This window comes from Homo sapiens, chromosome 5, assembly GCF_000001405.40.
Source record: "Homo sapiens chromosome 5, GRCh38.p14 Primary Assembly".
NCBI classification, from domain to species: domain Eukaryota; kingdom Metazoa; phylum Chordata; class Mammalia; order Primates; family Hominidae; genus Homo; species Homo sapiens.
Window position 1 is genome coordinate 109,668,294 of NC_000005.10, and position 13,435 is coordinate 109,681,728.

Genomic DNA, 13,435 nt, shown 5'->3' on the forward strand with positions numbered 1-13,435 from the left:
AGAAAGCCAAAACAGGTGAGGAAAAAAAAAAAAGATTGGTTGAAGTCACAGGGTATCTGGGATGGATCTGCTCATGGGGTTCACGTGAGATAGCCCTAGTGTTCACTATTCAGAGCTACCATGTTTCCTTCCTGGCCTTCTGACTGCTTCCCTGAGTCATGCCGCACAGGATAGGGGGTCAGCCCTACCGGAATTCACTATACCCGAGGTACAGCAACATTTTCTTGTTTTTGTTATTAAATATTGTTGTTCCAAGAAATGGTGAAGTCTTCAAGGGCAAAGACCATATTATTTTTCATATGTCTGGTAGGGCTTAGCACAATGTTGGGTATAGAGCAAGAAGTTGCTAATTCTTCTTTAACCTGATTTGACATTAATTTGGTTCTTATTGTTAGCCATTCAAAACTACAAGGTTGCAAAAAGGTATAAATGAAAAAAAAATCCCTCCTTCGTGGCTATCACCAAGGACAACATTGCTTGGAAAGGACTGAAACATTTTATATCTCTACCAGCCATTTCCCTGGGAAGCAAAGCCAAGCCTGTAATGCTGATTAACAATGTTAATGTTCTCCTGTAGGCGGACAGGCAACTCAGAGGCTTGCTTCTCACCTTCCCCCTGTTCCTTAGATAGAATGACTTAACTCCTCTAATTTTTTAGAGAGAGAATGAGACAGAGAGAGACACACACACAGAAAGAGACTTATTTACAGTTATGCAGTCTCTACTTGGTATAACACATATCCTACAGGAATTTAGAAAGCAGTGAACTTTAAACTGCAACAACACAAATACCTCGTCTACCATATCAGAATAAATTAGGAACCAAGAACTGAGAAGGGAACTGATGCTTTAGGCCATTCAAGGGTCTTCTTGCCAAAGCCAATGAGGTTTCAGTATCAGAAAAAGCTGCAGCCCTTAGATTTCAGTGACTGTGGAAAGAGATAAAGTACCACAACACACCTGGCAGATTATAGTTTTTCAGCTCAGTTGTTTACTTACATTTGACCGTATACTTATTTGACTCAGAGACTCTGTTACTCTCACACATTTTACTGCCAGACCTTACACATTGCCAGGATTTCCCTGATGATGACTGGATATTTGTGAGTTTGTTCATCCTTTGACAGAATTTAAATGGTGGGATGATTTGTGGTTACAACTAAATTTGATAAAGTGTGTTTATCCATGGCATTAAGGAGTGAGCACTGGTCTAGAGGTCAATACATTTTAGCCTAATTCCATTCTGACCTTTGGCAAGAACCTCACCTCTCTGGGCCCCGTTTCCTCACGGGGAAATTAGCAGGTTACACTAGCTTGTTTAGAGGATCTTTGCCAACTCTAATATGCTGTGCTATTGTTTATAAGATGAGGTGTAACAGAGAGATGTCCAAACGAAATCAAGAAGACATGACTTGAAGTCCCTGCATTTGCCATTTACCAACTCATTAAATCTCTCTGAGCCTTGGTTTCTTTCATCTGTTAAGGTTCATTCCAGTTCTAAATTCTACGATTTTATGACATTGCTTATTGAGTCTGGAAATATCACAAACATAAGGTCTCAGAAATTACCTTTAAGATTTTCGTACTGCACAGATTGTACCACATTAACAACCCAATTTGATCGTCAACTGCCAGCATTTTTGTACAAATGGTTTATCTGCACAACTGTGCAGGGGCGAGAAGATGCGTATTTTGCAAATACCATTTAGTAGTGGTGGTTTTACTTTCCCCATCATAACTGAGTTTTAAATCACCATTAATATTTAGCATCAATTACCACCACACGCTTTTGTTTTCATGAGGTTAAACACCATGTCAAGTTGATAAATTCTATATTTTTAACACTGTGGATTGCCTGTTCTCTAGGATGGTGCTATTGGCAAGTAGCCAGACAAACACAGATTGGTGCCTTCATACAATTGGCCCTAAGAAAATTGCATGCCTGTTGATGTGCTTTTGGAGTCTGCATCTTGCAGTAGGTTCCACTTTAGGGTTTAAACAATTCAGATCCTTCCTCCTCCAGAAAATAAATTGTCTCTTTTTTCTTGTATCAGCTTGAGTCTGGCTAGGCTGATGTCTGAGATGTGCACTGAGCAAAGAATGGCTGTTTTTAAAGGAATATTGGTAAAATGCAGAGGGAGCTTACATTGTTTTAGGGTGTGACTTTGTGCTCATTATTTTCCATTCTATCTTACTGGCTTTCCTCTGAAAGCCAGAAACAGAAGCATTGGCTGCCAAAGATGGTTTTAATCCTTGTCTGGCAGCTGCCAAAGTCAAAGAAGGAGGGAGAGATGGAAAGTAACATTTATTGAGCATCTCTTGTATTGCCAGATGGTTTAACTCATTCAGTGCTCATGAGGTTACATCAGACATGACAGAATGCAGGGACCTGGACAATGCACTCAGTACTCTGATTTTCTCCATCTCTCAGTTCTGCTTTTTCCTACTTGATTTCTTCTCAACAGGCTCTCTCCATAGGGTGGCAAGGCCACCACCAGCAAATCTACTCTTACATTCACCAAGTTTAGTAAGCCCAGAGATGGAGAACCTTCCCATGCCTGTATTAGCAACCCCAAGGAAGATTCACATTGGCCTTGCTGCATCACATGTTGATGATGGAATCAATCACTCTGCCAGGTCAGGCAAGCCTGTTCAGGAGTCAGGGTATGAGGCACAGACGGGGGGAGCCCCTTTGTGGAGTGGAGGAGGAGTTTGTTCAAGGAACTAAAGGAAGAGGGTGGCAACCCTTCTTAGACAAAAATTCTTACCATACTCCACGGCAATGGACTACTTAAGAATACTGTTGGTTTGAGTTGTCAGTTTGAATGTCTTCTCTGGTAGAACTGAATCAAGAACCCAAAAATAAAGTTAAGGGTAGTTTACCAAGTCTCATTGGACATATACATTAACATATATTTGTCAGACAAGCTACATAAATCTGTCTTTTTTTTCATCTTTCAATGACTCTTGCTGTGCAGTAGTGGCAGTTAGGTTTCTCTTGGATATGTATGCAGTCATCTAGATTTAAAGGCATATGGTCTGCCTTGGATCACTTACAGATTGCAAGATGGCTCTGAAGCCAAACTTGCTGCTTATTTCATGCCCTGCACATTTAATTACTGCTTGATGTGAATGAAGTGTTTTATCTGAAGATATGCGCCACTGAAATTTTAGCTAGGTAGAATCGTAAAACAGTTTTCAGCAGATTGAGGCAATCTTAGAGGGAACTTTGTAAAGAAAGTTTGCTTGAAGTAGCTCACCGTAGGTCACAAATGTTCTGAGTTAGTTTGATCATTGCTAGATAGGACAACGAGTACAAGTGTTCCTAGTTTCCTAATTTCCTGGAAAACTCTAGGGATAAGACAAAATTCTTCTACTGAGGTTAAACAAATGGTAAATTGTTGATCATTATTCAGGTGACTTCTGGAAGAAAGGTAGGGCATTTTCCAAAGGCACTTGTTTCTTTTGATTACACTTACCTGGTGCAAACAAATTTCTCTGCAATACAAGTTTTTTTAGTTTTTCTCTTTGGCTTACCTGCTATGTCTTCATGTCAGTTAAATCAATTCTCTAGCTGGTCACGACAGCTAGTACTAGCCAGGGCTAGGGCAGTAACAATAACCTAGAAGCCTGTATAGCCTGGTATTTAAGCACATAGACAAAGAGCTCAAAAGTTCAGGTTGCTCTATCTCATGGGTTTCTGTAGCAATTTCCAATTATGCAAATGTGAATGTCGGGAAATAGGTAGGCTTGTGGTGAGGATTGAACTAAATAATGCTAGTAAATTACCCAGCATATGTCCTTTATCCAAGGTGACTGCTGTGTTGTAATCAATCCAAGGCTACTGTCCATGCACGTTCTTCACACTGAAGCATGTGGGATGGTGGGAGGCTATAGTAGTTATTAGCCACATCTGGCTCCAAGTGATCCTTTGTTTTTTCCTTCCCTACTGCCTTCCCTTCTGTGCTAAGTAACTTGGATAAAATGTTAAAACAATGATCAAAACTCTAATCTCAAGAGATGGAATGGATGAAGAAAGTAATTTTACTGACTTCTTTAAATTCTTCCAAAGCATGGCATGCTCTCTCACCTTTCTGAGTCTTCCTACAGACTCTTCCTTAATTCAGAAACACTTTCCCTCTTTTTTGTTAATGAGGCTTCTCACAGTCAAGGCCCTAGTTTACATTTTCCCTCTCCAGAAAGCCTTGCCTCACCTCTGCCCCAAAGTCGGGGTTAGGTGTCCCATAAAAAACTAGTAGGTTTTTTATGCCTCCTACTAGTTGAACCTCTCTTACCAAAGGAGTGTTCTCACTGGAGCCTGGCTTGGCAGGACTATGAGCTCCAAAAGGGGTGGAAATCATGCATACCTCATTGATCCTTATTGATCATTGTTGATCATCACCCCCAGCACCTAGCACCATGCCTGGCTCAGAGCAGGCACTCAATAAATATCCTTCCTTGGAAATATATGTGAGATCCTTTTCTGAGGGGCTCAAGGATCATTTGCTTTGTTGTATTTACTCAGTTATCTGTTTCCTAGAACAACAATGCTGTTATGGTGGAAATGTCACATAGCTCTGCTGGCAGTAGAGTAGCCACTAGCCATGTGGCACTGTTGAGTGGTTGGAATGTGGCTAGTACAACTGAGGGGTTACATTAATTTAATTTAATTTAATAACCATATGTGGCACTAGTGGCTGTCATATCAGCCAGCACAGTTCAAGGGCCAGAGGTTTAATTTTTTTTTTCAGGAGCCATAACTCTAGGAACTTTCGTGTTTTCAAGGAAATAGAATTGCCACAAAATCCAGAAGTTTGTCAGTAATACTCATGTAGTTAATGTTTGGAACTGGGTTCCCAAATGACACGTATATCATGTCACTTGTTGGGTGATGCTGAGCATCTCAGTTTTAGGCAATGGAGGGCAGTGCCTTGATTAGCATGTCTGCTCTGACACCTTCTGGTATGTGCCCTTAACATTTTGTGTCTCAGTTTTTCAAGTATAAAATGGAGCTGATAATAGTTTGTATCTCAAATAATTGTGTTAAATGGGAGTGTGTGTGTGTGTGTGTGTGTGTGTGTCTATGTGTGTGTGATAAAGTACTTAGTACAGTGCCTGGTATGTAGTATGCTCTCAAACATGCTAATTGCCATGATTAATCATTCCATTCTTCCATGTTTCTTCATCAGCATGGCATTTGGATACATGTGCATACATCCCAGTATACCCAGTAAATATGCTTCACAAGTTTTGGTCAGGCAAAATGAAGGTGAATGTGAATGTAAAGTACTATGAAAAGGTCAACAGATAGGTGTAATAGACTATTAAACTGGACCATTATTAGGGAAGGTAACTCATTTTACAAAGATAAAGTATCTTGAAATGTTATTTTTAAAAGGCAACCATATTTGAAATGGGAAGTAGAGTTCCTGCTTGCAGGAAGGCTTTGCTGCACACATTTCTATACCTCTTTTCTCTTTGTGTCACCTGTCCAGGATGCTCTTTTGCCATCCTTTCAATAGGCAAAATGTTTAGGGGGCAGCTGCCCTGTGCCAAGCACCACAGGGACTGATATGGGCTGAAGCAAGGAGTCTAAAATCAACCTTTGAATTTTACTATTCAAATCAATATGCTGTACAAAGTGTGTGTTCTTTGTTGCTCCAAAGCCCCATCAGGAAACTGTGCGAGCCAGGGAGGGAGATTGGGAGACGGTTCCCAGAATCAGTAGCTGATTTGCAAGCCTGAGGAGTTTGCATGAAAGGCAGCAGTAAAAGTCAGTCATCAGCTCTGATATATATAGTGAGAGGGAGGAAAGAAAGAAGAGAAAGCTGTGAAATGTTATTAGGAAGTCAGGTAAATAGAGAGCTACTCAATATAACTCATACCTTACTACCTGTTTTTCATTTTTTTTAATGTGTGATGTGTATGTGGGATCTGTTTTTAGAAATGGAAGCAAGAAAGTATCCTCTCTCTGATCAATGGTATAAAGTAAGTTACTATTTTTTGAAATACAAAATTGAAATGATCTAAACAAATTCAGGCAGATGAGATCTAAAAAGCAATATGAGGTTTTCTCTTCCCTTTTTGTATGTCAGAAATTGGGGAATCATACTGCCTATTCCCAATACAAAGTGTTGCATATTTTGCAAGTTTAGATACATTTTTAAAGTATTTTATAAAATGTATTTGTATAGTGAGAAGATAGAAGAAATAAAGCAATTCTCACATGATATTAGAAGAGTATCTAATGGTTTGCATATAAGTAACAATACAATATCGTACAAACAGAAAGCATTGATTTTATTGTGAATACAAATAAAGAAATAGCAGTAGCAGTGAGGAACAAACACTGAAAACTATTGGAAATACTGAAATGCCACAGAATTAGGGAGTTTTAATGTCCCCTGATGAATTGTCACTATTGTAGATTCAGTATTATTTGGCTATGTAGCTTGTTTCTGTAACTCTGATTTATTATTATCCTGGGAAGATTAGATCATGATGCTTGGAATTCTAATTGACCCTCAAGCTCGGAGATTAATTCCTATACAACCTAGCATCTGGGAGGTAGGACAAGCGTTTGGGGGGAGAATAGCTCAAATATGCAGTAAAGTGAAAAACATATCTACGCATACCCCTTCTTTAAAAGTCTTCTTGGGTGTTTGTAAAAGCGTAAGTCCTAGCACTAAAACTACCCCTTGGATTAGAATTAGGACGCTTTAGGAGGGCTTATTAAAGCATTCATCTTTGTGAGGCCACTGTGTTTCTACTGCACTGAGTTCACTAAACCAGAAGCAATCACAGAATATGAGAGACTGAACAGCAGCTCTCCTCTCCCTCCCCTTATTTTTTAGGTTAGAAAACTGGAGTCCCAGAGATTGATGGCCTTGCCCAGGCTGCACACTGGTCAGAAGTAAGGCTGATTCTAAAGTGGCACCTTTCAAGCCTCATCCAGTGCTCCTCACCACAGCATGCTCCCTGGCAGTCCATGGTACCTAGCACCTAATCCAATGCCTGGCACATAGTAGGCTCACAATAAATGTCTATGGACTGACTGAATGGCCTAAGAGCCTTACTATTTTTATAAATGATTTTAAAAAAGCACCAAACAAATCTGGTTTTAGGAGAGGCTAGCCAGTTGTTAACAAGGTCATTATGAACACGAAGAGAAGTTACTGAATAACATAAACAGAAGGAAAGAATTCAGCTGTAGCCTATACTAAAAACGCTGAAACTTATGGTAAGGGGCTGAAAAAGCTGGTAAAACTGTGACTGTGTCAAAAGGGATAAAACATCCTTGGCTATGATGGAAAAAATGTGGTGTGAAATTCCTTTGCTTTCTGCTGCTATTTAAACAGCAGGTGAATGTTCAGAATGCTTCTTTTAGAGAAAACAGTGAAATTTTGACATCAAAAGGTCTTGAGATAACCATAGTAATGAGAATGACCACTGGGGGAAGAGCATCCCTTTTTGAAAGTACTGATTTAGGATACAGCTATTTTGAGCATTTTTATTCAAAAAAATGGAAATTTTGCTTACTTTCCATTTATCTTGTTCTTAGTCTGCAAAGCAGAGGCATGATTGATCTTAAAATGTCAATCTCTCACCTAAAGAGAGGAAGAAAAGATTTATTTAAAGAATAAAATGTCATAGGGGTTCTTAGGGGAAAAGCTCCGGGCTTGGATTTTCTCTTGACAGCCAGGCTTCTAGGTGAGCTACTCTCCCTTTCCCTCCATCTCATAGTAGCTCCCCAGATAGCTCTGAGCGAGACATCCAGGCTGGCAAATGTTCCCTTGTTTTAGTTTCCTTTTAGGCAGCTCATCTACCTGAGCACTGGTTAGTTTCAGTAAAGAGTTCTTGATACTGAAAGAAAAAAGTCCTCAGTATTTTGACTTTGAGGAGTTGATAAAATCATGCTCCTGGAGACACTCATCCCAATGAAAATGTGTCCACTAGGCTGTTGTCTTTGGATTAGTCCTGGAGGATTTGGGAGGCAGCTGAATTCCACGATTTGGAGAACTTACCTCAGTACAGTTTAATGTATAAGTAGGTACAGAAAATATGAACGGTTTATCAGAAGGTCCCAAGAACTCTCAGCGTCTAGATGCAGTCTGCACACTGCAGGTTTAATAAACGCACTATGCAGTATTTTCAGCATCTACAGCAGGGCCCACCTGGCACGTAATTAGGCATTTGAGAATCATTTGTTAAAATAATTCAGTGTTAAAATAAGAGAAAATCTCCCACTGGCTAAGGTATGAGCATAAATGTATATTGTTTATGAAAGTTTTAGCTGTTATTTTATGACCCTGTGAATTAAAAAACAAAACAAATAAAACATGAATTTAAAGACGCCTTGAGGTGTTGTGTAAATTGGTCCCCTGTTTGAAAAAGAATCTTACTCAAATCACCCTAGATAAATGGGATCTATTCTAAAGATCTTCAGATGGAGAATAGCTGTATATAAAAGTCCACTGACTGGTGCCTTGGTTTTCTTCGTATAAGGGTGCATAATCCTTGTTCTTCAGGTTTTCTGTGCTTTTCTATGGTGGGCAGGATTTATGGGGTTTGTTGCCAATGCTTTGGACTAGCTGGAGGGACCGCTCATCCTCCTGACAAATAAGGTTAAAAACTCAACCTCTATCTTCACAGTCTTTACAGAGGAGCAAAAGGCAGAGAGGAGATTCCCCATAGTCGGAGAAAACTGGACTAAAGAAGAATCACTCTACGTAAGCGAATCTGTGGTCTTCTCTCTCACTCAGAGACCTCAGGGGAGCATGAGAAATGAGTCAGTCTCTCTGAGGACCCACCAAGCTGCCAGAGCTAAACAAGAGTCTTGTTTGAACTCTGAAGGGGAGAAGGGACAGAAGGCATGGATGAGAACACAGCTGCAGTTGACTTCCGTGAAACCATCTGGAGAGCATGGCCCAAGAAAGAGAAAAGGGCACGGGGACCAAATTAAGAATGTTCTTAGTTAATTTTCTAAAGAATGAGTCCACTGAAAAACCACCCACTCCTGGGTTCCTGATAATGCAAACTTCATTCATTTGTTTATTCATTCAACAAATGGAGTAGCTCCGACCAATATTATGGATTGGCTTGGAAAATACCTCTGGCTTCTTGGCAGAGAATCAAGCAAGAAACTTACATGTGATTTTGGTCTATTCTAAATAACTTCTCTAGGTTACATACTTACACGCTGATGGTTCACACATAAGGAGGACAAAAGGAATGCTACCAAAACAAAAATCACCCCTCAAAATTATTTAAAAGGCAGAAGATTTTAAATTGAAGAAATATCTTTAGCATCAAGTCAGGGTATGAATGTACCAGAAAGGCTTTGTTTTAGCAAATTTACTTCCCAAAGGGCAGAATAATATATATGAAATGAAAAATGCACAGGCCTTTTGTTCTTTAATGACCTTGGGGGAATATTCTAATTTATCAGGAATCTGCCAAGAAAACAGTTTACCTCTTCAGTTGTCTCATTTTGTGTTTCTGAATTTTTTTTTTTTTTTTTTTTTTAGCCAGGGTCTCAATCTGTTGTCCAGGATGGAGTGCAGTGGTGCAATCATGGCTCACTGTAGCCTCGACCTCCTGGGATCAAGTGATCCTCCCACTATCAGCCTCCTGAGTTGCTGGGACTACAGCTATGTGCCACCATACCCAGCAAATTTTTGTATTTTTTGTAGAGACGAGGTCTCACCATGTTGCCCAGGCTGGTCTTGAACTCCTGAGCTCAAGTAATTTGCCCATTTCAGCCTCTCAAAGTCTGGGATTATAGGTGTGAGCCACTGTGCCCTGCCCATGTTTCTGAATTTTTAATACATTTTATTAATTCTTGCTGATCTGTGAAACACTAAGAAAAGTAAATTGTTTTATAATTTTGTCTCTTAATATCCTCCAAAAAATTAATTCTATTGCTTTTTCTTTGCATACTTCTTGGATACTATTTTCCTCCCTTTGTGTCAGTGACTTATCACAGGAAGAAAAAAAAAATGTTCCCCATCCATTCCTTACTTGGTATCTATAGGGCTGTAAGCGAAGACATTGGCTTTATCTACAAACTGCTGCAGTCAGATTGTTATGGAAATAGGAATTAATTATTGTAGAAGCAGTATAATGATCTTCTTTGGAATCAGAGAATTAAAACCAGGATTCAAAGCAATACCCGTAAGGGAAAGTGGTTGGGGTTTATATCGGAATCATGGGGGTATATTATATTAAGGTTAAAGAGGGAGGATGAGATGGAAAGACAGAAAATCTCGCCACAGCATGTGGAAGTTTCTCCTTAGGAGAGCCTTGTGGCTCATTGTGCCTGTCAAGTAGGCTAATGTGCCTGTAAATTTCCTCTGACAGAAAACACATCACAGCAGCAGCACCAGAAAACAACACAACCAAACTGTGGAAGACTGAAAACCCAGTGCTTTCAAGGGTGATCAGAATATGCCAGAGTAAAAAACAAAAACAAAAACCAAAAAAAAAGCAAGGCATTGAAAATAAACAAAAGCTAGGGAGAAATGAGATCACCTTCCAAGAAATAAGCATTTATCATTCATTCATAGGCGAAAGGAAATGCTTCTCCCACAGTCATTTTTTAATGTATTATTGGGCAGTCTCAGTTCAAGGTCAAAAATGTCAGAGGGCAAAAGGAATAGGACTCAAGATTTAATGCTGTATTTATCATAACTGGCTTTGTAATTGCATAAATATTAAATATGTAGAACTAATTGCAAGCACATTATCTCCATATCTCCACACATTGCTTTAATTTTTAATGTAATCTTTTATCTGCCTTTTCCTCAGCTGGCTGTGGGTTTGTAATTTGCATAGCTAGAATGATCCGGTGCCATCAATTTAGTAATGAAGTCACTCATTGAGCAGAAGAGTTTTCTAAAGATTATACAAAGCTGTAGGAAAGAAAAGAACAGAAATGAAATTTTATGTTTCAAATAAATGGGAAGTTTATTTTAGAACATATTTTCCATTGTAAATTTAATGCAACCACTTCATAACAAATTTGGAAAACAGAGAAGATTGGGAAAAAGCACCCATATTTCATCATCCTAACTTATCAGTGTTTTGTGGTCTTTTATACCTAGGCACATATATTTTTAACATCGATGTAATCATAATTATGTGTGTGTATATGTGTGTAATTTTACATCCTATTTTTTGTATTATTACTATGGTTTTCATAACTATAACTTTTATGACTATAAAATACTAATAAAAAGAGGTGTCTATAATTTTCTCACTTACTAAATTTCTTGTGGCTAGCCGAGCAGAGGGGTGGAATCAGATGGATTAAATTTCAGCTCTGCTATTGAACTGTGTGGATTTGGGCAAGTTAGTAAAAAGCTGGGCGTTAGTCTTCTCATCTACAAAATGAGGATAGTGATAGTGCTTTTATTAGAGTGTTCTTGTTAGAGTTAAAGGAAGTAATCCAGCATTTAGCCTGGCTCTGTCATATAATAGGTACTAAAACTAAGTATTAGTAAAGGCAAAAATGTCAAATACATTACATTGGGTTTCAAAACTTAGGAAAAAAAACTTAAGTCCTACAAAACTGAATTTCCTGGGATATTTCCATCACCCCCTTTAGAATTTTTTTAAAAATTTCTATTTAAAGATGGGGTCTTGCTCTGTTTCTCAAGCTGGACTCAAATTTTTGGGCTCCAGTGATTCTCCTGCCTCAGCCTCCCATGCAGCTGGGACTATAGGCATGCATCAGTGAGCCCTGCTTGCCCTCACCCTTGAAGTTCCCATGTGCCCTTTCCCAGTCACAACTCCTTTCTTCCACCGCGAACTAGACATTGATGCTTAGTGCTTTGTTGCTTTCCTTTATGCTTTACATGTAAGTATGCTTCTCTAAAGATACAGCTTATTCCCTGTTATTGAACTTGATATAAGTGGAGTCACACACACACACATGCACACACACACACATCATTCTGTATTTAGATAGCATGCAATCTAAGGCTTGGTTTTGTGATGAAAAAGCTTTAGACGTGGAACCAGAGAACTGGGCTTCTAGTCTAGTCTCCTTGAGACCTCGGGCAAATCTTTTTACCTTTCTCCATGTAAAATGTTTGGATGTTCTAAGTGTCTTTGAAGCTTTAGAGTACAGAGTTGTTAAGCCTTTCCTATTTGAGTATTGTGTGGCATATGAAAATCAGAGTCAAAGAGAATCCATAGAAAGGCCTAGTCTGGCTGGAAATAGACCTCCTCTTCCCCCAAATTAGGCCAATTGTAGTGACAGCAAACAAAGGCTTGTAGAAAAATGAAAGTGATGATCCTACATCACAAATAATTTTCTCATCTCTGATAAGTGCACATTTAGACATATTATTAGCCCTAATTATACTGTACATAGAGGATATTTTCCCCAGGATAAATCATAGCCATAAAGATTGTAATTTCAAGAGTTCAGAGTTCAAATAAGTAATCATATATTAGATAATATAGGTTTTTCTGGAAAGAGACAGTTTTAAACATTTTATTCCATTCTCTCTGTAGATGTATTTGTATTTCTACAAATACTGCCTATGGTAAGTACTGCAGGCTGGCTCACTCACTGTCCATTCTCCTCTCTTCTTATGGTGGCTTTTGTACTTCAGAGGCTGGAAAATTAAAACATTTCCTAGACTTCTTTGCACGTAGAGCTATGATATGAATTAGGTCTACAATTCGATACACTCATGCAAAACTTAAGAGAAAAGAAGTTAAGGCATCCTCCTGACCACTTTTGGTGGCATTTCTCTTAGAATTAAGGTCATAGAAACATTTTTCTGCAGCAGTGTTCCATGGTCCATTATTCAGCCTCCTGGAAGACAATATGCAGCAGAGGCCGTTGACAGCAGTAGGTTTTTGACTCCATCTTCTGTCATAGGGTTATGTTCTTGAACTCAGTGTTCCAGTAGTCTTCAGAGGTACTAGCTTCACTGATAGGTCACTTGGTATTATACGGGGAATCACTTTTGGAAGCTTGGTCTACAGCCCATTTCTTCAATCCTGACATGGATTTTTGTAAGCATCCTCTATTAAATAACTTCTTGCTTAAAATACCTAGAATGATTACTAATTTTTACACTTAATCTGAGCAATACACTTCCTAAATGTTATTTTCAAAAATCTATTCGTTGTAATACGAGGTATAAAGTATCATAATTCTATAGAATGCTGCATCAAAAGAGGAGTTTTGAAACCAGAAAAACGAAGCTATACCATTTAGTAGCTAACTATTCTAAAGCAAGTTATTTAACTTCTCTGTATCTAAGTTTCTTTATATGTAAAATAGATGTTAATATAATAGTCTTGCAGAGTTATGATAATTAAATGAGGCAACATAAATAAAGCACTGAGCATAGATGCATTATATGGTGTTCATTTCTTTCTATCCCTATATTGGACTTCCTTTCGTGATCGAGATGAT